This window comes from Homo sapiens, chromosome 2 (assembly GCF_000001405.40).
Source record: "Homo sapiens chromosome 2, GRCh38.p14 Primary Assembly".
Lineage (NCBI taxonomy): Eukaryota > Metazoa > Chordata > Mammalia > Primates > Hominidae > Homo > Homo sapiens.
In genome coordinates, this window is record NC_000002.12 from 134,539,743 (window position 1) to 134,565,090 (window position 25,348).

Here is a 25,348-nt window from a genome sequence, read left to right on the forward strand (position 1 = left end):
AATCCGGAGACAGAAATGAGAAAAAACATGCCATGCTCTGAGCCTAAAACTTCAAAGACAGCTGTGGGGAAAACAAGCCCGCAGAGATTTCTTCTGAACACAGGACATCTGAGAAGGGAAGGAGCTTGCCCAAATCCCCACTGACCAAGGTGGCCACAAAGGGAGAAGGCTCTCACCCTCGTGCCTGTCTTCCTGAAATCTCACCATCAAGGAGGGCTCCTGAACTCAGCCCGCTCACCTCCATGCACAGGCAGCAGCTGACCGAGGGCAGCAGGGAGCAGAAGATGGAAGGATGCCAAACACCATGACTTCCAGGTGCAAGTGTCCAAGGGTAACCATCCTCAGGGTGAAACAGGGGCCCCATCCATAGCGCTAGGCCCTGGCACTCCAGGGATAGAACACTCTCCTTTTGGCAAATGCTTCCTGGCAGCAGGTGCCAGAGGACGGGCTACAGCTGCAGACAAAGGCCAGTTACGACTCCTTGATGGCAAAGCCACAGGGCTGCGGCCCAGTTACTTGTCATGGCTGCCATCTGCCTGGGGACCCAGGAAATGAACACTAGCTCCTGGGAACACCAACCTGGCCCCTAGACTGCCCTGCAGTGGCCCAGGCAGTTTATCTGTGTCTGGCCAACAGCCAGCCATTTCCCCACCTTGCAGTTAGAACCAAAGCCCAGGACTGCATTTCAAGTTGGAGAATTTTATAGTTCTCCATTTTTGTGGATCCCTAACCACTTTCTCTCTCCCTCTAGTTAATTTTGGGTTGTAGCTAATTGCTAGGAAGATGCATTTCCAGGAGGAAGGAGAGGGAAGGTGGAATGTCACACTGGTGAAACTGAATCATGCAAATGACCATTTGGAGAGATAGCATTGCATAGTGGTTATGAGCAAATTTCAGAGCAAGCAAGGCCCCTGTTTAAACTCCAGTTCTATCCATCACTAACCAGGAGCCTTCAGGAACAAACTTTACCTTCTCCACCAGGTGTTAAATAATACCTCTACTTAACAGAGTCCAGCATAATACATGACACAAATCAGGTGCTCAGTACATGGTTATTACTATCATCTTAATAAGGGTCATCCAAACCTTACATAAAATGAAGAAATTCCATAGTTAAGTCTTTCCTTCTGCAATTCTTTATGAGCACCTACTACATGCCAAGCATGAGTCTAGGGGTTCGGGATAAAAAGAAGACAGTTAAGGAATACTGTTGCCTCGGTGAGCTTAAAGGCTTGTGAGGGAGATGGACAAGTCAATAGACCAGTACATTAATTAAATGCAGGTAATTAAATCTTTAAACAAAAAACACCCATGGCATTGCAGAAAAAGAATATGAGTGGTGAAGGCAAAGCAGGAACTACCTGGTCAATTACTAAGTTGTGCTTCCTTAGTTGCCTAGGTTCCACAGTCTGGGAACTGTCCCAAGATGGAAATAAAAGGCTTTTCATTCCCATCTGAAATCCTGGCAACCCATTTCCCAAAAGAAATGCAAATGCTCCCAAAGCATATGAGAATATGTTCAGCTAGGCTGCTAACTAAAGAAATGCATGTTAACATGGAGAATTAGCATTGCTGATAAAAAGAATTATAACTCTTAGTGCTGGCAAAGGAGAATAAACATTTTCATCCCCTGCTAGTGGTAAATTAGTATGACCTTTTTGGAGCACGGCTCGACACTGGTCGTCAAAATTATGTAAGCATTTTCTTTGACCCAGACTTCTAGTAATTTATCCTAAAGAAATAACAAGACAGGCATTAAAATACAAATGTTTAAGGACAGTTATTCTGGATTTTTTCTAACCTTAAGGCATTGGAAATAACCCATGTCTTCAGCATAAAATTGCTAAAATAGGCTAAACCCATACATAGAATACCGCACAGCTATCAAAAAATAACAAACCTCTATTTATCCATGGAAAGATGTTCAAACTATGGTGTTAAATACAGAAAAAACAGTTTTCAAAAAAACTATACGTAGATCATCTCTGTTTTAAAAAAGCTAAATGGATATACGTGTGTGTACACACGTGCACACACACACACACACACACACACACACATACACACACACGGAGCATACATCAAAATGTTAGTTCCGGTTATCCCTGGAAGTCCCCATAACAAGTGAGTTTCACTGTATTCTCTGCACCTTTATGAATTACCTCAACTGTTTACAATAAACATATATTACTTTGCCTTGCCCCACGCCTTTCTTACTGCAGACCATGGGCGGGGGTGGGAATGAAATTGAGGCATCAAGAAACAATCTTTTTATCCCCTCACTACATGACTATCCCTTGTTGCTAAGTCAAAAGCAACTTTCTAAATATGCTGAAGTGTATGTCTGGGTTTTCTTACAATTTTATTACAAATTCTTTTATTCCATGTTCTTGAAAAGCAAAACAAAACGCGAAGGTAGACAATTTCAAACTCTTCCAGGATGACAAATAAAACAATTTTCAAAATTTTAGGGATAGAAAGTAAGTTATTCAATGCCATGTTTAATCTTCACCATTACGCCACTTGGCAGCTGTCGTGACCCTCCCTCCCTTTCATGGATGAGAAAACTGGGGTTCTGAAAGATGAATAAATCACGTGGAGTCACAGAGCAGGTAAGCAGCAGAGTGGAGCTCTGATGGAGGACTCTTCTCAGGACCACATTAGCTTCGTACGGCTGCCACAATACAGCACTACAAACCAAGTGGCTTAAACCAGGGGTCCGCAATCCCCAGGCCACAGACTGTCACCTGCTTTATCTGTATTTATAGCCACGCCCCGTCACTCGCATTACCGCCTGGGCTCCACCTCCTGTCAGATCGGCAATGGCATTAGATTCTCATAGGAGCACAAACCCTAAAAGTGTACAATAAATGTAATGTGCTTGAATCATCCCCAAACCATCCCCCACCCAACCCCAGTCCGCGGAAAAATTTTCTTCCATGAAATCAGTCGCTGGTGCCAAAAGGGTTGGGGACCACTGGCTTAAGCAACAGAAATGTATCGTCCCACAGTTCTGGAGGCTACAAGTCCGAAATCAAGGTGTCTGCAGGGCCACCCTCCCTATTAAACTTACAGGGAAGCTCCCTCTTCTAGCCTCTGGTCTTTGCTGCAATCTTTGGCATTCTTTGGCCTGTAGATGCATTACTACAATCTCTGCCTCCTTGTCCCGTGGGAGTCTACTCCCCATGTCTGATTGTGTCTCTGCTTTCTCTTCTTATAAGGACACTAGTAATATCGGATTAGGTCCCACCCTAATCAAACATAACCTGATCTTCACTTGTTTACATCTGCAAAGACCCTGTTTCCAAATAAGGTCACATTCTTCCGTACTGGGGGACAAGGACTTCAACATATCTTTTACGGGGACACAATTTAGCCCATAACAGGAACCAAGCCTACACTCCTTCCTCTAGTGCATCTTACCTGCAGCACCATAACCCAGTAGTGTCATGTCTGTGTTGTGCCTGGTTTCATCTGTCCTGGTCAGGACAGTGGAGGGCCACTCCCTTCTGCCTCCAGGTGAGTCTAAATTCACACTACTCAAAGCAGAGGAGCTCCCATCCTGCTGAAATGGCTCCACCTTCTGCCTTAACTCTCATCAGCCATCGAGGGCATCTCTGAAGTTATTTATTCTTCTAGTTCAGGTTCTGCTCTTGAGTTAAAACACATTCAAGAGCTTTGTCAAGTTAAGAGCACTAGACAAGTGTGGAATAAATAGGATTCACTTTCTCAGAGCCTCTGATTTAGGGCCAGATCAAACACCCTACGGGAAGAAGCGGGGAGAGACATGATACTGTTTTAATATGTTCTTGGTATAACTCATTGCCTTCACAGTCCAGCTCAGGCACCAAAAGCAAATTACCTATCCATCACTTCTTGACTCAATTTTCTTTTTAAATTTCTGGAGTTGTTTCCAAAAGCAGCAAGGGTGCTGGTGGAGTCAGTCATCAAAAGGCTATCAAGCTATCCTGTTGACTGGTGGTTTTCAGGCCGATGCATTTGGCTCAGCAAATTGGAAAAGAACGCACAGCAAGCAGCCTGGGTGAGAACCGGTGGGCCTGTCTATTTCACATGGGAAGACACACAAAGGACTTATGCCTCTCTCAGGACATCCACTGTGGGGCCCTCCAATTCCCATCCCAATGTGCTGCTGAGCAGAACACCATTGGGAGGTACATTGGAACAGGAGAACCACCTCTCGGGCTGCATTGTGACGCTGTGTTGTAGAATTAGAAGGCTGTCCAGGTGAACAACATCTCCCACCTGCCTTCACTTCCATCTCAGCAAGCTGACTGACAGCCCAGGAGACAGCTGGGCCTGGGGACCCTCCACACAGCCCCACCTGTACTGCAATCATATGCAAAATGTCAGAGACCCCCCAGTGAGTGTCAAGCTGGACCTTCTGTGGCAAGCATCCCATGGCCCTCGCAGCTGATGGTGGCAGGAGGCTGTTCTTCCTGGGGCCTTACACAGTACACAGGGCAGAGAATGGCAGGACAGACACGAAATTCCATGTCATTCGGCCCTGCCAAGTTCCTCCTACACTTATTTCTCCCCACGCCCTCCATCTCCAGCACCTCCTTCCTTTCCTCAGTATCCACTCTTCTCGTTTCCAAATCTCCTCAACCTTCATTTTTAAAGAACTTTCATCTGTTTTTTGAAAACAAGTTAAAAATGACCCAACTGAAGAGACATTGTCCAATACAGTAGCCACTAGCTGCATGGGCCTATTTAAATTCTTTAAATCAAGTTAAAAATCCAGTTCTGGCTGGGCACAGTGGTGGCTCGTGCCTGTAATCCCAACACTTTGGAAGGCCAAGGTGGGCAGATCACCTGGGGTCAAGAGTTTGAGACCAGCCTGGCCAACATGGTGAAACCCCGTCTCTACTAAAAATACAAAAAATTAGCCGGGTGTAGTGGCACATGCCTGTAATCCCAGCTGCTCGGGAGGCTGAGGCAGGAGAATTGCTTGAACCGGGGAGGCAGAGGTTGCAGTGAGCTGAGATCATCCCACTGCACTCCAGCCTGGGCCACAGAGTGAGACTCTGTCTCAATAAATAAATAAATAAATATCCAGTTCCTCAGTGACTCTATCCATATACCAAGTACCCAATGACCACATGGGGCTAGTGACTACCATATCGCACAGCACAGATACAGAACACAGCCATCGCCGCTGAGCATCTGTTGGACAGCTCTGGTTGTCATAAAATGTGTCCCCTCCTTCCTCTGTCCCCAGCCCCCTCCTGGAGGGGAGGCGACCCTGCTGCCAGTCTCCTTTGTATCCTTTATATGCCTACACAAGTGTGTGTGGATGCAAACCTCTTTTGTTAAAACAAATGAGAAAAAACCACACATGCTATTTTGTGTCATGCTCTCTTCACTTAATGCAGCTTGGAGGTCACGACGTTAAGTAAACAGATAGTGCTTCATTCTTTAGAGTGGCTGCATAGCAATCCACTGTCACCAGACCAGTGTCACCAACCCCACCCGCACCCCCAGGCTCCTCTGTCACCCACTGTGAGGCTGGCTCCCTTCTCTCCCAAACACTCTCATCCTACCCTCCCAGTCTCCACATCCTCAAACTCTTTTTCTGACTCTTCCTTTTACCTTTCTTGCCCTAATAAAAATGTAGCTGTTCTCTGAGGAAGCTGCTTTCCCTGCCTTTGCAGTAGAGGCTGCTTTTCCTCTCTGATCCCACATTCTCCAAGCCTCTTTCTTCCTGGTGGCTGCCCCCAGCTTCCTCCCTCAACACTGCCAGTTGCCATCAGACTAAAGCACCCACCACACCTCCCTCCTGGCACTGCCCCCTCACCTCCTGGCCCCTTCCCTGCACTCACTGACGACTCACTGATGATGACCTGCTTCATGGCCTTCACCTCCTCCCCAAATTCTACACACATTCCTGGTAACTTAAATCTCAAATGGATCATACTGCCAACACCTGGCCTCACCCATGTCCCTGACCTTTTGTCCCCACCCTGCCTCAGCCACTCACTCTACCCTAAATCTGTGCCAATAAATGAAACGCCTATGGAATCTTGGTTTTTAGCAGCCTACTCTCAGATTAGTACCCCACGCCAACAATTACTGACCTATCAAGGCTTCTCATCTTCTAATCAAGACTGCTAATCCATGGTGATTATTCATTAGCTTTGCCATTATCCTTCCACCTCTCCTTGGCTACTTTATTCTCTCTTCTTAGAACCCCTTGCTTGTAAACATAACTTTCCCTTGCCCCTCCTTCTATATTACCTGTTGAAAATCCTGGCCATGAGTAAACCTGATGGTCCACCTTCTCCATACCTTTATTTCCTACCACAGGAAAGTAACCAAATTTGGAACTTAAAAAAACTAGTTGGTAGAATTATAAAATGATGTAACAACTATATAAAACAGTATAGAGGTTCCTCAAAAATTTTAAAAGAGAACTGCCATAGGATCCAGCAATCCCACTTCTGGGCATTTATCCTAAAGAATTGGAAGCAGGGTCTCAAAGAGATATTTGCACACTCATGTTCATAGCAGCATTATTCACAATAGCCAAATGTCCATCGATGGATGAATGGATAAACAAAATGTGGCATATATTTACAATAGAATATTATTCAGCCTTTAGGCAGGGCATGGTGCCTCACACCTGTAATACCAGCACTTTGAGAGGTCAAGGCAGGCAGATCCCTGAGGCCAGGAGTTCAAGACCAGCCTGGCCAACATGGCAAAACTCCATCTCTACTAAAAATACAAAAAAATTAGCCGGGCCCCATGGCGGACGCCTGTAGTCCCAGCTACTCAGGAGGCTGAGGCAGGAGAATGGCATGAACCCGGGAGGCGGAGCTTGCAGTGAGCCAAGATTGTGCCACTGCACTCCAGCCTGGGTGACAGAGCCAGGCTCCATCTCAAAAAAAAAAAAAAAAAAAATTAGCCAGGTGTGGTGGTGCATGCCTGTAGTCCCAGCTACTTGGGAGGCTGAGGTAGGAGAATTGCCTGAACCTGGGAGGCTGAGGTTGCAGTGAGCCAAGATCATGCCACCGCACTCCAGCCTGGGCAACAGAGCAAGGCTCCATCTCAAAAAAATAAATAAAATAAATAAAAAAGATTATTCAGCCTTTAAAAGGAAGAAAATTGTGTCACATGCTACAAAAAAATGGAGGATCCTTGAGGACATTATGCTAACTGAAATAAACCAGTCACAAAAAAGACAAATACTGTATAATTTCATTTATATGAAGTATCTAAAGCAGTCAAATTCATAGAAACAGAAAGTACAATGGTGATTGCTAGGGACTAGGGGACAGGGGAAAATGGGGAGTTGTTCAATGGGTAGCATTTCAATTTTGCAGAATGAAAAAAGTTCTGGAGGTCTGTTTCACAACAACATGAGATACGCTTAACACTACTGAACCGTATACTTAAAAACACTTAGGCTAATGCATTTTATGTTATGCGTTTTAACAAAATAAAATAAAAATAAAAATTCACAATAAAAATCTTTAAAATGCAAAACAAAAACTATCAGGGCTAGGTACGCTCTGGTGGTGCTGAAACCAAACTCTCTTTCCCTGAGTATGAAATACCCCATCATATCCACAGTAGGGATACACAGTCACCAGGTGGCAAGGCTAAGGAAGGTTTCCAGTTGCTTTGCATGACTAATTCAAGCTCAAGATTCATCCCAAGGTTTTGGGTCCAGTTCAAAAAAATAAAGGGAATTAGCTAAGGGCCAGTTGCATATTTTCCAATTTCCTCTAATATTACTCTCCAGCAACTAACTGAAAACCAATGGCTTTTCTAGCTGTGCCCCTCATAACTCATTTATGCTCATTAATAGGCAAATATCAGCTTCTCAGCTGGCAGTGATTTCATTAATTTTAAACTTACATGGGGTAAAGCCAGGGATTAAAACTTTAAACCAAAGCCAACAATATAGAGGATTGTGAGTATCACTTAAATCCCTAGGTTAGGAATCTCCAAGTGAATTCATTGGCATTGGCATTGTCACGTGAACAATTACCTGGGAATTAATCAAAGCAACTCCTCTGTGAGTTTTTGCCTTTTCGACAATGATATATACTTTTAAAAAACAGTAACCTGTTTGGGGGATTATTAAAAACAGTGAAACCAAAGACATTTCTCATCATCAATTTTGATCTTGGAAAACCTCCAGACCTAACAAATGTTCACACAGATCCCAACGCTATAGAAAAGCCACAATTATTCGTGGCTTTCTGACTAACATGTACGAAACTCATTTCAGCAGAAAGGAAATCAGATTAAAAAGCAAATTAGAATAATGAAATTGGAAAACCCTGAATTCAATTCCTTCTGGAACTGAAAATCAAATTATGTATTATTAGCTCTAAAATAAGAAAGAAAAAGCAGAGGGAAAAACTTTCTCCTTTGAGGGCACTGGCCAATACAAATATAATATAAGCCACATATGTAATTTTAAATTTCTAAAAGACATTTTTAAAAGCTAAAGCAAAAAAAAAATTTAAGTTTAACCAATATATCAAAAATATTCTAATATCAACATGTAATGAACATTTTTTTAACTATTAATAAATACTTTTTCTCATTAAGTCTTTAGGATTTAGTGTGTATTTTATACTTACAACACATCTCAGTTCAGACAAGCCACATATCAAGTGCTAAAATATTGCATTAGTGGCAACCATATTGGACAGTGCAGCTATAGAACCAAAGATGACATGTTCTTCTGACACGACAGTGGCTAGCTCCTGAAATCCGAGTATATCTCTACATTATACTCTCTAGGCTTCTTATTGAATTCCTCAAATACCCAGAACAGCTTGGGTTGGGTGCATTAGTTGCTCCTTTGGCTAGACCAGCATTAAGTCAAGGTTGATCATCACAGGGCAGGTTAAGTATCCTTTATCCAAAATGCTTAGGACCAGAAGGGTTTCAGGTTTCAGATTTTTTTTGGATTTTGGGATGGCTGCATATACATAATGAGATATATTGGGGATGGAACCCAAATCTAAACATGAAATTCGTTTATGTTTCGTATACACCTTGTACACATAGCCTGAAGGTAATCTTATACAATATTTTAAGTAATTTTGTGCATGAAACAAAGTTTTGACTGTGACCAGTCACATGAGGTCAGGTGAGGAATTTTCTACTTGTGACATCAGGTTGGTGCTTAAAAAGCTTTGAATTTGGGAGTATTTCAAATTTTGGATTTTCAGAGTAGAGATGCTCAACCATCATTTGAAATTTTTAAAAGTCAGTTTACTACTATTTTCTAGTTTTTTTCAACCACAAATTCACTTTTAAAAATTAACTTTATCATAAATGATATCATCTGTAACATCACAAGTTTGATTCTTAATTTGTTAAAAAAAAAAAAAAACTAATGCCCATTAAAATAGACATTTAACATTTAAAGTAAGTTTTTGTACACTAAAGCTAATAATGACATGAACTAAAATTTGCTCTCATTAGTGAGTCAGTTATGGTGTCATCTTTTAAAAGTTTTCCATCTGGCATATTCAATCTCAGATATGTTACTGTCTGAATCACTTGGCCTCAAAGAGGTATTGCAACACTTGTATGTTGGAATATGGCCTAACATCCCATTCAAGAGTACTTTCTTGTTTGAGACAAAGTCTCGCTCTGTTGCCCAGGCTGCACTGCAGTGGCACAATCTCGGCTCACTACAGCCTCCACCTCCTGGGTTCAAGCAATTATCCCACCTCAGCCTCCCGAGTAGGTGAGCTACAGGCACACAGCACCACACGCAGCTAATTTTTGTTTTTGTAGAGATGGGGTTTCACCATGTTGGCCAGGCTGGTCTTGAACTCCTGGCCTCAAGTGATCCACCTGCCTCAGCCTCCCAAAGTGCTGGAATTACAGGTGTGAGCCACCACACCCAGCCTCAAGAGTACTTTCCATCTGGATACCACTACAAACCACAGAAAGGGGCATTTACTCATTTGTGTTCAACTGTCCAAAAGCTGCAGAGACAGAGAAAACTGTTGCCCTGATACCCACACATACACGTATACATGCACATATATACATATAACTGCATGCACACACATATACATACACATATTAGCGTATAGGTATATGCATAAAAATGTGTGTGTGTTTGTGTGTGTGTGTGTGTGTACTCATTGCAATCATCCTACGAAAGAGGAATTGTCTTTTTCTTGCTTTTCCAGACGAGGGAATGAGGCACAGAGCAGTTACTGGCTTCCATAATCACAGAGATACAAATCTGATTACGGAACCTGTGTCCTTATTACCCTGGGGTTTACAAATGATATAAAGAGATGGAAGTTGGAAAAGACATATGTTTTAGAGTCACAAACGTTAAGTCCTTCAAAGTCAAAATCTTCACCCATGGGATATGAAGACCGGGGCAAGCAACATCCCCTAATACAGAGAGGGGCAGAAGGCAAATAGAATAATTTAGAATGCCCTTAAGATGTCTTCTGTAAATGACAGTGGAGAATTCATCTTACTTAGAAGAAAAACAGCATAAAAATCCAAGAGAACAAAGATTCCGATAAGAAAAAGCAACAGGATGGATGGATGAGCGGATGGATAGACCAGCAAACACATATTCTCAAAATCTGAGAACAGAGAAAATTATAAAGGTACATCCTCTCTCTCTGACCATCCCAAGAGGACCCTACCACATGGCTGGCATTGCACTAGTCACTCTCAGAAGCAACCTGGGGACCTTCTTCTCATCACTGGGACAAAAGCTGCAGGGCAAGCTGTGTTGAGGGCCTCATTCCGTGGCCTTCATCTGCACGGGTTCTTCAGCCTGGAGAAAGACAAGAATCTACTTACATGTACTCCCTATGGGCAGAGTGCACAGCGGCCGCGTTGCTGTAACGCCACAGGACAATCGCCGATGACAGGACGTCCAGGATGGCATCAAACTAGGAGAAGGAGACATGGCATTAGAGGCTTTCCACAGTTAATAGCACACAAATGTGAAGACACAGGACAACTGTGCTGTGACTCAGAACATCTGCATGAGTAAACTCTGAGCAAAGAGGTCTCCCATCATTACGACGCAGCCACTTACTGCCCTCATGCCTGGGGCGTCTGGAGCTCAGACACCCAGTGTGCCATGTAGGGGGCTCTGCTCCCAGGGCCCCTGGCTCCCAGCACTCTGGAGATATAGAGCGGAAGGTGGGGGAGTTCACTGTTCTGAAACACATGGAATTGGTTTCCCCATGATAGTCAAGATAATTGCAGTAGTTTCCTGCACATCCCAGATAAGAGATTCGGGTGAGAATTCTATTTTTGACTCTCAACGGGACTATTCTATCTGGGGTCCAGGGCTGGGGGTGGGGGTCACCAGGACCTGCAATAAGTCTGCCAGCACTTTAAAGTTGCATATAAAATTCAATGCTTTTGTTTGAATGAGAGAGCATGAATGCACAAGCAAGCTAGAGAGAATGACAGAGAAAAATGTAGGTGTGTGTTTGTGTGTTTCTGGGTGTGTGTGTATGCATGTGTGTGTGTACGTGTGTATATGTGGTATGTCTGGGTGTGTGTGTGTGTGGTGGTGTGCCTTTTTCCTGGATGGTCCACATCTTTCATAAGATTCTGAAAAGAATCTGCAATGTCCCTACAATATCAAGTTCTCACAACAAAGGGCAGAAGTGGGTCTGGGAACAGGCATACCGACCCTTGGGTACAGGAAACCCTAAAGCTACGCGGCGGGGGTTGAGAAGAGCTCTCTTTATGGGTCACTACACCACACCACACTTCTCAGCTGGAAAATCACAAGCACTAGCATCCTCTCCAAGGGGCCTGGGGAAACTTCACCCAATTTCTAAACAGACCTAGCCTGTGAAGCAGAGACCCACTTTCTCCAACTAGCTTCCATCAGGAGGCCAGCTGGGAAGCCAGGTTACCCCTAGCTGGCTACAGACTGACTCATCCTAGCGCAAGTAGCCCCGATCTTCACTCGCAGCACATCTGCCTACACCAGAAAATGCTTTGCTTCAGTGCGTGCCAGGTCCACATACAACCTGGAAGGTAAAAAAGGGCTAAAATGCCCAAAACATCCTCTCACCCAACCACGTTGTGGGAAATGTGGTTCCCCCCAATCTGTGCATGAGAATTACACAGTCCTCATTGCCGCTTAATTCTGTTAAATTTTCATTTTTTAATAGAAGTGGGTTTCCATAAAATATGTTTCTCATGCTAAGCTCTCATACACTAACCACCCTCATTTGAGGGCTCAGGGTGAGGTTTATGGGCTTATGAAAAAACGTGCAAAACTTGATGAAAGTACATTTCAGGTTACTTACTGCAAACCCAAAAGCAGAGGCGCTGTACCTCATAACGGAGACAGCTAAAAAGAAAGAAAATATTATTCAGAATATTTTAAAACCTCTCTCATTTTTGAGTATATTAATACATTACATGGCCTTTTAAACATCAGTGGGGAAGTTCCAAGAGAACAAAACCAAAAATTAACTGTACTTGTAAAATCTAAGAATTTTTAAAAATGAAGAGTGAACTGAAAAGATTCCCAGACTCCACCTGCAACAACTTCCCCTCACAGTGTTCTGAAGCACCTGAGGGCCAATTTCCAAATAAAATTGCTTCAACAGCTGTCAATCAAATGACTTCTGATACTTTGAGAATTTAGCAACTGGGAACTATATCAAACTTTCAAAGTAAAACTCCAACCACCCAAACTGTTCCCATAATAAGGTGGTGTGGCTAAGTAAGGCATACACCATTGCTAAGATAGATGAAAAAAATCTGTGGGCACCAGAGTTTAAAATCCAATGTAGACACCAGTAACAGTTGTTTAGAAAAGAGTGACAAATGATCTTAAACAACAGATGTCTACAAATAGAGATGTCTACAAATGTCAATGCCACAATTCTAATTACGACATATTTTGATCCTTTTTTTTTTTTTTTTTTTTTTTGAGACAGAGTCTTGCTGTGTCACTCAGGCTGGAGTGCAATGGTGCTGTCTCGGCTCACTGCAACCTCTGCCTCCCGGGTTCAAGTGATTCTCCTGCCTCAGCCTCCCAAGTAGTTGGGACTACAGGCACCTGCCACCACACCCAGCTAATTTTTATTTTTAGCAGAGACAGGGTTTTTCCATGTTGGCCAGGCTAGTTTCGAACTCCTGATCTCAGGTGACCCACCTGCCTCAGCCTCCCAAAGTGCTGGGATTACAGGTGTGAGCCACCACACCCGGCCTTGATCCATATTTTTAAATTGGAGGACGTCAATTGGGTAGCACTTTTTCCTAATTCTGTTTTGTGCTAAAGCAATGACAGCTTCAAAGACTTCTCAATTTGACATAACAAAGGCAGATCTCCAGAAGAAAGCCATATTTAACAAGCATACATGCACCTCCAACCATGACTAAAGCCCTACACTAAGAGTCAGCAAAGCTGGCAGTGGCTTGTTCCCAGGCCTACGTTCTGCAAGTGGTCAGTGGCGCAGTAGAAGCGTGGGTGGGAGGCACAGAGGCCAGTGCCTACATGGACTTCCATCAGCTCATCACAATATCCCTTCTCTAGGACCTGCTCCTTGTCCTCTCCACAAGGTCCAGGGACAGTCCCCACACAACTGTGTTGTGCCTTGTGCCCTCCAGTTACAAGGAGGGCACCTGATCCACTGTGAACCAAACAGAGTTCATTTTCTGTGACTTAGGACTTGAGACAGAGAGAGTCTAGTTGGTCAATCTATGTGGTTAGAACAGCAACTTGTAAATGCTGGAGTTGCCATCGGCCACCGTTTGCCATAAAGACTGAGGAGCAGGAAGGCAAGCATGGGAAAGCCACAGCGCTGGGGAGAGTGAACCACTGGTGTCCGAGCGTTTCCAGACCCTTCCTGAAACTCAGCCATATTCAGGTCCTCAAACTGTGTGAGGTGGAATACAACCCATTAAATCCCTAACCACCGTTGTTTTTGACATGAGCTGCTCCAGGAGTCCCTGCTGTTGCTCTTACTGGCACAGGGAGAAGGGCAGAGCCAGCTGTGCATGGTGACCAGCTGGAGCTTTCATGGGACACACAGGTATGGTGCTGTAAAGGGGCACTGGCCCTTCCTGGAGAACATCAACTCACCAGCCATGCCAGCCATGCTGACGTGTGCAAAAAAAGCAGCTGATCCCTGGCGGGACTGCTGCAAGCACCGAGGCGGCCTATAAAACACAGCTTGACTCACAGCACGTGCTCCATAACTGTTAACTAAGCGTAACAAAATTTCACAGAAATAAGTCAAGGAGGATATCTTTTCTTTCCCTTTACAACCTGTTTTTAGAATATCTTAGCTGTGTGCTTTTTGTGGGTTTCTTCTTTATCAGCAGTGGAAACCTTTTAATTCCAACTAACATCTTGCACAGATGCTCCAGATCTACAACAGATAAAAGAAGAGCCAGGCATGGTGGCTCACACCTGTAATCTCAGCACTTTGGGAGGCCAAGGTGGGGGGATCACGAGGTCAAGAGATCGAGACCATCCTGGCCAACATGAAGAAACCCCATCTCTACTAAAAATGCAAAAAGAATAAGCCGGGCGTGGTGGCGTGTGCCTGTAGTCCCAGCTGCTCGGCAGGCTGAGGCAGGAGAATCACTTGAACCCGGGAGGCAGAGGTTGCGGTGAACCGAGATCACGCCACTGCCCCAGCTTGGTGACAGAGCGAGACCCCATCTCAAAAAAAAAAAAAAAAAAAAAAAAAAGAGAGAGAGAGAAATGCTGCCACCGGGCTCCCAGTCTGTCTCCACCTGTGCTCCTAGGGCTGAGCACCATGGAAAAGGCACAGCTAGAAAAATCACTTCCCCCGACTCGCTATGGCAGAAGAGCACCTGCCTCACCAGCAGTGAACCATGGCTTCAAAACAGATTTCAAGTAGACATTCACTTGATTATATTGAGAAAGACAAGGAACCTTGTCTCAGGAATCTGGACTCAAACAAAGGAGATGGCCACTAAATGGTGGGTGGGGTGTCCCCGACTCAATTGGAGTGTTGTGTCCATGATTTCCAATACCCTCAAAATTATGCAGGAACGATCCGCTTGTGAGAATAAAACCTTCCCAGAGAATGGATGACCTAGAGCACAAGTGGAATATTAGTATTCTCTATCCCACCTGCACCAAGGAAAATATGAGCGAGATGGCTCCAAGTTAACCCAGAGTCCTTCACAGAGATGTATCATTTACTTATAAATTGGCTCCGTCTAATTTCCTTGATGAGATGGAAAGGGAGAAATGCCAAAAATTGCATGGGGAATTGAGACTACTCTGAAGGGCCCTCCACACAGCCTTAGCTCTGACAGCTTCCTTTTGTGGCCAACTCCCCAACTCTTGCTACTAAATAACAGCAAATAGTCATTAGCACAGGATCTGAATGAAAGAGTTCAGATGGCCTTTCAGGAATTTCTGAAGAGTGTCAAGTAGTAACTTCATTTTATTTGTCTCATAACTCACCATGACACATCCCAATTTTGAGAAAAGAACAAACTCAATGGAAGGGTCAGAATGGTTTACACAGCACCCCACCCCCCAACTTCCATGGGGTTTTCACCAGGACGTTTCCAACTTCCCTCATGCTAAGAATGAGGTTGGCTTGGAGAACAGCAGGCCTGAGCCAGGATGATTATAAGGGAGAGATTACATGGTAGAGGCACCTGGAGCTCCATGCACATGTGGCTGAGTGTAGTGGAAAGCCACCACAGGGCCAACAAAGGCCTCAATGCCTTCAAGACAGCTGCTTATTAAACAGTGGACAAGAAACAAGGGCCGTTCTGAACTCGGACAATTATGTTGCAAACTGGCAACACATCCACAAAGAGACGGGCGACCAGGCAGCCGTGGGGCGGAGCTCTCCTATGAAGGCTGCTCTTGGCCCCATGTGGTCAGAGTAGAAACACATTGCTATCTGATTAGGCAGCAGTTACACATCCAAAAAAATGCATGCTTAGGATGCAGCTGAGCTCCTATCTCTTTCTCTGCTGGCTTTTATTATTAATTTATTTTAAGACACAGAGTCCCTAAAATGTTCATAGGTAAAATGAAGATGTGTCATTTGGGGCCAGCCCAGCATGCAGTCCCCATCCCATAAGAGCATCCTGATTCTCCTCTGGGAATGGCACCTGCCCTACCCTCAAGACTATGTGATTTGGGTGGGATGACACTATTCCCATGCTAGTATATCCCATTAACTTGTCCCATGTCCAGAGTTAATGATTCAAAAATGGCACAATTCAATTTGAGCCAATGAGAACCTGTGCCAAGTTTTTTGCTGAAAATATTGGAACGGGGATGTCTTTCTTAGAGGGGATTTTAGAGATAGGAGGCTGAATACAGGAGCTACAGGTAGTGATTTGAACATAAGTGGGAGGAGACTGCCTGAGAATGAAGCCAACACAAGAAGAAAGTAGATATTAAACACAGATCAGACTCCCGAAGACAGACTGAACCTCTTAAATCAGTCCTGCCTGATCTATCCCTCTACTCCTCAAATACATTAGCCAATAATTTCCTTTGATTTGCTTAAGCCAGTGTGAGTTGAGTTTCTATCACTTCCAGCCACATGAGTCTTAATACAAGGTATGTTGACCCAGTAATCCCATGCCCAAGATTTTAATGCGTAAGAAATGGAAAAACACTTTAAGTACAAAAGGTTCATAATAGGTTCATGTGATTTATAACAGCAAAACATTAGAGGTAACTAAATATTCCATAGTAGGGTGATGATTGAGGTATGATTTATTCAAAGAATAGGCTATAGGTAGATATTTTAAAGCCTTTGCAAAGAGTACTGTTGCTGGCTTGCAGTGGTGGCTCACACCTATAATCCCAGCACTTAGGGAGGCCAAGGCAGGAGCATCGCTTGAGGCCAGGAGTTTGAGACCAGACTGGGCAATATAGTGAGACCTCATCTCTACAAAAAAATTTTAAAATTAGCTGAGCGTGGTAGCAGACACCTGTAGCCCCAGCTACTCAGGAGGCTGAGGTGGGAGGATTGCTTGAGCCCAGGAGGTAGAGGTTGCAATGAGCCAAGATCACACCACCGTAAGCCAGCCTAGGCAACAGAGGGAGATCCTGTCTCAAAATATTTTTTAGAAAAATTAATACTGTTTAATGTTTCTATTAGCATATTAGAAAGAACAATGGCATTGATAATAAACAGATAGGTTGTATGTTGGGTTCTGCATTGGGTGCCACAGGAAAGGATGGGTCTGGAACAGGGGGAGTTCTAGCCAGCACAGGTGCAAACTGAATGGGAAGATCAGAAGAGGCTTCATTGAGAAGGGGACATTTAAGCAAAGACTTAAGGAGATGGGGGAGTAAACCATGCTGTTACCTGGGGAAGGACCTTCCAGAGAAGAAGAGTCAGTAAAACGCTCTGAGGTGGAACACTTGGCATGTCTGAGGCCATTCTGGCTAAAGCCAAAGGAAGCAGGAGGAGAGTTACGAGAGATAATTCGGGCAAGACACAAGATGAAGCATGTGCTACAACTAGCTTTACAGGCTGCATTGAAAACAACCAGAAAAAAATTCCCTCAAATGCTAACAGTGGTTAATCTTTGAAGGGTGGGAATATTTGAGTGGGTTTCTTTCCTTTCTACTGTGAACCCAAAAGTATCTGAGACAGAGATCAATCAATTTAGAAAGTGTATTTTACCAATGTTAAAGACATGCCCATGACACAGCCTCAGGAGGTCCTGACCGCATGTGCCCAAAGTGGTCCAGGCACAGCTTGGTTTTATACATTTTAGGGAGACATGAGGCATCTATCAATATGTGTAAGATATATATTCGTTCTGTTCGGAAAGCAGGACAACTCAAGGTGGGGAGGGGGCTTCCAGGTCACAGGTAGGTAACAGACAAATGGTTGTATTTTTTAAAGTCTTTGATTAGCCTTTCACAGAATACACAATTTCTGTGTGAGCGGAGGGTAGAGGAACAGTCACTTACACCTTTGCCCAGCTTGGTGAAACAACAGGGCAGAGGAAGCAATTGGATATACATCTGTCTCAGGTGAACAGAGAGAGGACTCAAAGTCTGTCTTTTGTGCACAAAGAATTTCTTTGTGGGCAAATTGTGAGGGAGGTATGTAGCTTCTCAATCTTTGTAGCTATCTTATTTAGGAATAAAATGTGAGGCAGGTTTGCCAGACTGTCCCCAGCTTGACTTTTCCCTTTAGATTAGGGATTTGGGGGTCCTGAGATTTATTTTCTACATTTTCTACAACCACCATATCATTTAAACCAGAAAAAGAAATCTATGTGGGGAAAAAGATATCCAACTCACAAAAATATCAACAAAGGTCTAAAATGGAGTCAAGAGAAACCAGATCTGTGATACATATCTGGGACTAGGCTGCACTGTGAGTTCACAAATGCTCTAACAGGGCGGCATATGACTATATGTGTCTTTATTACATCTAAGTTTCTGAATCCATCTTTCTAGGTCAAATCACCTACATCAGTGGTTTGTTAATGGCCCAAAAAGTTCATGGAAGTACAGTGGTGGACCAAGAAAGCCAGCAAGTGGAGCACGAGCAGAATGTCACTTGCAGTCTGAGGGACCTCCTGCCTCCCAGGATGCTGCGTGTCACACACACTACTTTCATTTACGTGTCAAAGGGGTAATAACAGCTACTCTCCCAGAAGCACACACACAACAGAAGTCTAAAATAAATATTTATACAAGTCTGGTTAAAAGACCAGACCTTCTTTAACTAAGTCACACACCAGGCCAGAAAGCATATCAGCTGGAAATTCAAATTCAAATAGAAAGACAGCTGGAAAATGGACAGGACCCAGGCAACCCATTGTTAGGGCAAAGCTAAATCGTGCAGCTGAATCAGCAGCAGGCTTTGAGGGAGGGTTCTGGACAGTAGAGACAAAATACCTTGGAAATGCACAAAGAGGTAAGGATGCCAGCAAGGCAACAGAGGATCAGTGCAGACAGCCCCTCCACAACCTTAAACAAAGAATGCCATTTCAATCGCTGGCAGGATTTGCAGCAAAAATGAGGACCCATCTGTCATTCTCTCCAAAGTCATGCAACAATTATCTTGAGCCTTAGCACTCTTCAGCAATGCCCCCAGGCCCCGTAACACCTCCAAGTTGCAAAATTATGTGACTGTAAGTTTCGTTAATAAATCAATCCTACTTTAATTGGACAGCCTCTATTACACAGGGGCCTGGCAACAACCTCACCTCCAGCCATGTAATTAACTCAAATGGAGAACCATCTTTCCATCATCCACAATACATACACACATACATAAATTTGGACCCCTCTTAGTTCCACCTCCTCTGCTGCCTAACAAGAAAACATAATAATGAAAACACCAATCTGGATCTTTGGATTCTCTCAAAACACTGAAATCTGCCCACCCTTGGCTGTCCCTTTCTCCCAGTGGTGCCAATGCTACGTTCAGATGAGGCATGTGCTCTGGGGTACACACCTCTCCTGCAACATCACAGCCAGCCTGCCTCACTCACCTCTTCCACCTGCCTGGCCCCTGTGGCATCTAGTTGGCCCCGTAAGGCTTGAGTATTGGACCTCACATGTAGGGCATGAGCAACCTGCTATGTCCAGCAATGTCCAGCAAAGTGCCTGCTAAATATTCATTTTGCTGTATGGACTGTGGTTCCCAATGTTTTCTACTGGAAGGTCTGGCTCTCAGCAAATTACAAAAAGCTGTACCATGGCCAGGTTCTCAAAGCCAAAACCATTATTTGAGAGCTCTTTGACTTCTACAGACAACCCTGAGAACCATTATTAGCCTTAGGTAGGCCATGGGCACTGGCCTGCCACCCTCCGGGGCTCTGCCTGTCTGGAGAGCAAGTGTTTGTTAGGAAAGCAAGTGTTTGTCTCAGGCAAACCCTTGCCAAGACCTCAGGGATGATCATGGGTCTCTCTCACATGACGAATGGGTGGCTACATACAAAAAGGGACTATACAACCCCGCCCCTAATCCCACACCCACAATAACCTATAAAACCCACAAAAATGGGCTTGAAGAGGTTAGAAAATATTGCCCTCGAGCTGCTGCTATGGGGGTAGGGAGTGCCTTTTGCTAGTGTTCTGGGCCACTTTGCAATGAAAGGTCACTTGCACTCCAATTTCTAACAGGAAGCAGCGACTGTCATTCATCCCTCCATGCCCCTGGTACTTGTACACATTGGCCTCCCTGGAAAGGCCATGGTCCTTAGGATGGAGGAAGCCTCTGTTCTCTGATCTCCTCTTCTGCGGCCCACACCTGCTCACTGCACTCCAGCCACATGGGGCTCCTCGCTGACCTCCCCACAGCCAGGCCACGGCTCTTCATTCTGCCAGAAACAAGCTTACTCCAGGGATCAGCCTGGCCTGCTCCCTCCCCTCCTTCAGGTTAGGGCTGTCCTGGCCACCGCATTTAACGATGAAACCTGCCCTCGTTCCCAATCTGAGCTCTCTGTCACCCACCTCTAAATTTTCTTTATCTGAAGTACATCTCATCTACCACATTATCTTATGTACTTATGTAGGTTTCATCTGCCCCACCCTACTCCCACCTATTAGAATATATACACCACAAAGGCAAAAGCTTTGAATGTTTGTTCCCTGATGTATCCCGAATGCCAAGATCAGTGCCTAAACACATAGAACATGGAAAACTTTCAGATGGATTCATTAACACCTTCCCCTTAGCTCCAGCATGCAGCAAACAGAGCCTTCAGGGAGAAGGCAGACAGGACCAAGGGCTCAAAACACCGGGAGGCCCAGCCGTGCTACCCAGAAGCCCTTCCCTGAGCAAATGAAGCCGCAGCTGGCACTTTCTGGGGCACAATGGAGAAACCAGCCTCTAAATGGACCACTGCTTTAGGGACAGCTTGAAGCATTTGCAAATGGCAAAGATCTAGGATTAAGGAAAGAGTAAGGATAGCCCCGGACCCAGAAAGCCAAGAGCCAACACAGAATAGTATAACAGGAAAAAAATCCAAATAAAAACAACCCAAGGAAAGTCTCTAGCATGGACCAGGGCACCCTTGTTCCTGCTACCACACACCACCAGACTAGCTCTGTTTCAGTTTGCGTAACATGAAATGCACATGACCCCCGTTCCAAAGCAGGGATCGGCATTCCTGGGACATGGGCAGGATGCCTGCCACTCAACAGGGAGAGACCTGGGTTTCAAGAAGCTCTCAGAGGTCTCACACACAGGAGTCACCAGCTCAGAGACAAAAAGACAAAGACCCCAGCTTTTAATGACAAAACTTCCTCAACACCACAGCACACTTTCACTGTGCTGCTTCTTCAGTCTGGGAATAAGCAGGAGGAACATCCCCTGAAGGCACAGTTAACCAACTTTTATGAGCATTTATGGGCCGTCTCCGCCGTCTCCGATGGCGTATACAGCCCCTCAACTTGTTAGCACATTTGCTACACAGACCTCACACGCCAGAGCTAAAAGTAGCAGCAAAGTTCTTTTATTATTATTATTTTTGTTGTTGTTGAGACGGAGTCTCGCTCTGTCGCCCAGGCTGGAGCGCAGTGACGCCATCTTGGCTCACTGCAAGCTCCGCCTTCTGGGTTCACGCCATTCTCCAGCCTCAGCCTCCCGAGTAGCTGGGACTACAGGCACCCACCACCACACCCGGCTAATTTTTTTGTATTTTTTTTTAGTGGAGACAGGGTTTCACCGTGTTAGCCAGAATGGTCTCGATCTACTGACCTCGTGATCCGAGGTCCAGCCTCAGCCTCCCGAGTAGCTGGGACTACAGGCACCCACCACCACGCCCGGCTAATTTTTTTTGTATTTTTTAGTGGAGACAGGGTTTCACCGTGTTAGCCAGGATGGTCTCGATCTCCTGACCTCGCGATCCGCCTGACTTGGCCTCCCAAAGTGAGCAGCAAGGTTCTTGCTGAATGTCACTCACACTTTCCTAACACTTGCTCTTACACCTCCTTGTGCCAGGGTTGCCCACAATGCCAGCAGAGCTATCAAGTAAGCCTGTGGGAGGCAGGCCTGGTCAGGTGTCCTCAGACCACACTCAATTCATGTCCTGCAACCCACACTGCCAGACTAACATGAGTAGCCACGCTCAACTAATCAGTCTTTCATTCAACCAACAAGTGCTTACTGAGCACCTACTATGTGTCCCACACTATTCTGCTGAGCTGGGGATACAGCAGTTGCTTGCCCAACAATTTGATAAAACATACATTTTAAAGCCTTATGTTTCCCTTAATCATAGAATGCAGCTCCTTTAGCCCAGTAAGTAAAGCATTCATTAGATAAACAGAGATGGGGATAAAATTTATAGAACAGAACTTTCGCATTTTATCTTCTCTTGTCTTCTATGTTAAATACCTGTGAGGTTGCTGGGAGTTTGAAGCTTGTTTCTAGGTAAACTCATTTTCAGTCCATTCTTTTTACTTTGGCTTGGTGTCTTTTTGGGCCCCAAAGCTCCCTGCCCCTAGCTGCCTTTCTTTTATAAAACACAGAAATGCTCCTTGCCTTCTCCCAAGCAGCACACAAAAGCGTGAAGTCAAGGGTTGTATCATATTTGTCTCTATCCTCAGGGTCTGTGTGCTCAAGCACAAGTGCATTGTCAGTGCTCAAAAAATCCTTGTTAAACTGAACAAGACTGGAAGAATCTCTAACCCCCAATTATAATTTCTGGCTTTTATTTAATGTGTGACAGTCAATTCAGACCAGAACCAAAAGCTAACACTACGGGCAAGAAGAGCTAGCAAAGGCATGGATATTGTCACCCAAGGTCATCCTTGCCAGGCCACTGAGATGGCCCTTGGTCTGCACTGCTGATTCCAAACACATTGAACCTCTTTGGTTTGAAAAGTCGCTTAAGAAACATTTTAAAGAACAGAACATACTATGAAGAAGAAAAATACACTGAATAAGGGTCCAGAGATTTGGCTTAAAGAAACTATGCTGAACAAACACCAACTCATTTGATCTGAATCAAAGTCATTTGAAGATTAACGTGATCACTCAAAGAATACAAGTTAAACATGGTGGAATACAGCCCTTTTGTCCTCTCTCCTCACCACCCTGCTCCATAAAACCCAAAGCAACAAGAAACATGAAAAAACTAGAAAAAGAATAAAATGATCAAAGATCCAGAAAATGGCCAACCCCCAATAACCTAAGTTATAAAGGGAATCTACAAAATACATTAAAATTTAGACCATGCTAGGAGAAGATGCTGACAGCTGATAATATGTCTCAATCAAATCTTGGGCAGAGCTTAGACTTTTCCACAATTAGATGGCACAGTCATCAGTAATCCAAACGATTGTCCCTTATATGCAATGGCAAGCTTGGAGCTGAGCTCCAGCATCCACCCCTGGACCCTTTCCTGATATTCTACACACTAGAGAGCAAAGGCGTGAACCAAAGGAGTGCGTGCTCAGACAGACACCGATACAAGAATCAGACACCACCATTCCATCAACGAGAGGAGCCAAGGCTCCACTGCCAGCCAGGCAGTCTTCTCTTATATTCAAGGCAGGAAGATGTTCCCCAAGGTAGATCACTGAGATCAGGTGCCCCGAGAATAAGTACTCAAATTAAAGCTGCCTGCTGCTCCCTGCATGCCTGGTTCTCCACAAAGTCACAATTATTAGAGCAGTGAGGCACTGGCAAACTGGCAGACAGAATAGGGGAACTAGAAAGAATTAAGAAGTGAATTCAGCAAGGCCACCACACATTAAGTGAATACACAAATTCCAGTTATTTCTATATTAGCCACAAACGAAGGAAATGTAATTTTTAAAAGGCTCTATTCAAAACAACAAAATTATCAAATACCTAGGAAAAAACTAATGAAACTAAAAAAATATGCAAGACTTCTACCTAGAAAAGCAATGAAATATTTTAGGAGAAATTAAAGACAACTATTAAATATATGAAGAAACATACCATGTTTGTGGACTGGAAGCCTCACTGTGGCCAATTAAAATCCTAGCAGGTGGTGACAGAATTGATAAGATGAAGCCAGAGTTCATGTGGAAAGTGAAAAGAATCAGGAATAGCCAAGACAGGCCAGGCACGGTGGCTCACACCTGTAATCCCAGCACTTTGGGAGGCCAAGGCAGGTGGATCACCTAAGGTCAGGAGTTCGAGACCAACCTGACAACATGGAGAAACCCTGTATCTACTAAAAATACAAAAACCTTAGGCGTGGTGGTGGGTGTCTGTAGTCCCAGCTACTCGGGAGGCTGAGGCAGGAGAATCTCTTGAACCCGGAGGCGGAGGTTGCAGTGAGCCGAGATCATGCCACTACACTCCAGCCTGGGTGACAGAGCGAGACTCCACTGCGGCAGCAGTGGCGGTGGCAGGGTGGGCAGGGAGAATAGCCAAGACAACCGTTAACAACCACAACCAAAAAAACCTGGAAGACAGTCACTACCAGATACGAAGATTTCAAAGCTACAGTAAATAAAATGATATTAGCACAAGGATAAACAAAGAGACCACAGAACAAAAGAAGACCCACACAGATATGGTTACTTGATTTATATATTTCAAAAGTACCCCTAAAATACACGGGGGAAAGAAAGTTCTTTTCAATAAATGGTACTGGGCCAGTTGGACATCCATATGAAATGACTGAATTATGACCCTACCTTACTCCATATAGAGAAAACTGTCGATGAGCTGTAGATATAAAAGTGTAAGGTTAACATAGGAGAGGTCTGAAATAGAATATTGGCATGGAGTTTCATAATCTTGGGGAAAGGTAAAGATTTTTTAAACTAGACATAAATGCATTCATCATAAGGGAAAGGACTCGTAAACTGAACTACATTAAAGACCTCCTTCAAAGAGCAAAACAGCAAGCCATCGAGTTTATTGAGAAGATATTTATAAAACATAACTACCAGGGGACTTATATCCAGAACATATAGACTTATAAATCACTAAGAAAGAGAAATCAACCCAATAGGAAAATGGGTGAAAGACTTAACAAGCTTCATGAAAGATGATACACAAATGACCAATAAACATATGAAAATATACTCTACTTATTGGTAACCAGGGACAATAAAACTAAAACCACAGATGCCACTACATACTCAAAGTGTGACTAAAAAGTAAAAAAGCTGACAGTTTCAAACGTTAGTAAGGATGCAATACAACTGAACTCTTGAACTGCTGGTGGAAGTGTAAAACAGTACAAATACTTTTAAAAACTGGCTGCCCGTCTCTATAAAAGCTGATCAGGTCAGGTGCGGTGGTTCATGTCTGTAATCCTAGCACTTTGGGAGGCTGAGGCAGGCAGATCACATGAGGCCAGGAGTTTGAGACCAGCCTGGGCAACATAGTGAAACCTGATCTCTACTAAAAGTACAAAAATT

The 25,348-nt window shown here is 44.3% G+C and overlaps 1 protein-coding gene across 1 annotated transcript in view, besides 1 other annotated feature; it reads right to left on the reverse strand.

Moving 5' to 3' along the window:
• The window catches only part of TMEM163 (transmembrane protein 163), a 263,242-nt gene that overhangs the window by 83,984 nt on the left and 153,910 nt on the right, over positions 1-25,348 (reverse strand). The window contains exons 3-4 of the mRNA NM_030923.5: positions 12,306-12,349; positions 10,828-10,919 (exon numbers count right to left, since the gene is read on the reverse strand). Of these exons, the coding sequence (NP_112185.1) occupies positions 10,828-10,919; positions 12,306-12,349 (136 nt within the window). The remainder of the gene's footprint in view (positions 1-10,827; positions 10,920-12,305; positions 12,350-25,348) is intronic.
• Positions 21,447-21,626: a silencer, noted in NCBI's record as "fragment chr2:135318760-135318939 (GRCh37/hg19 assembly coordinates)". NCBI's record gives its function as "represses an EF-1alpha promoter that drives an FKBP-Casp9 reporter gene in an ReSE screen in K562 erythroleukemia cells {active_cell/tissue: K562}" and the evidence as "EXISTENCE:reporter gene assay evidence [ECO:0000049][PMID:32094911]".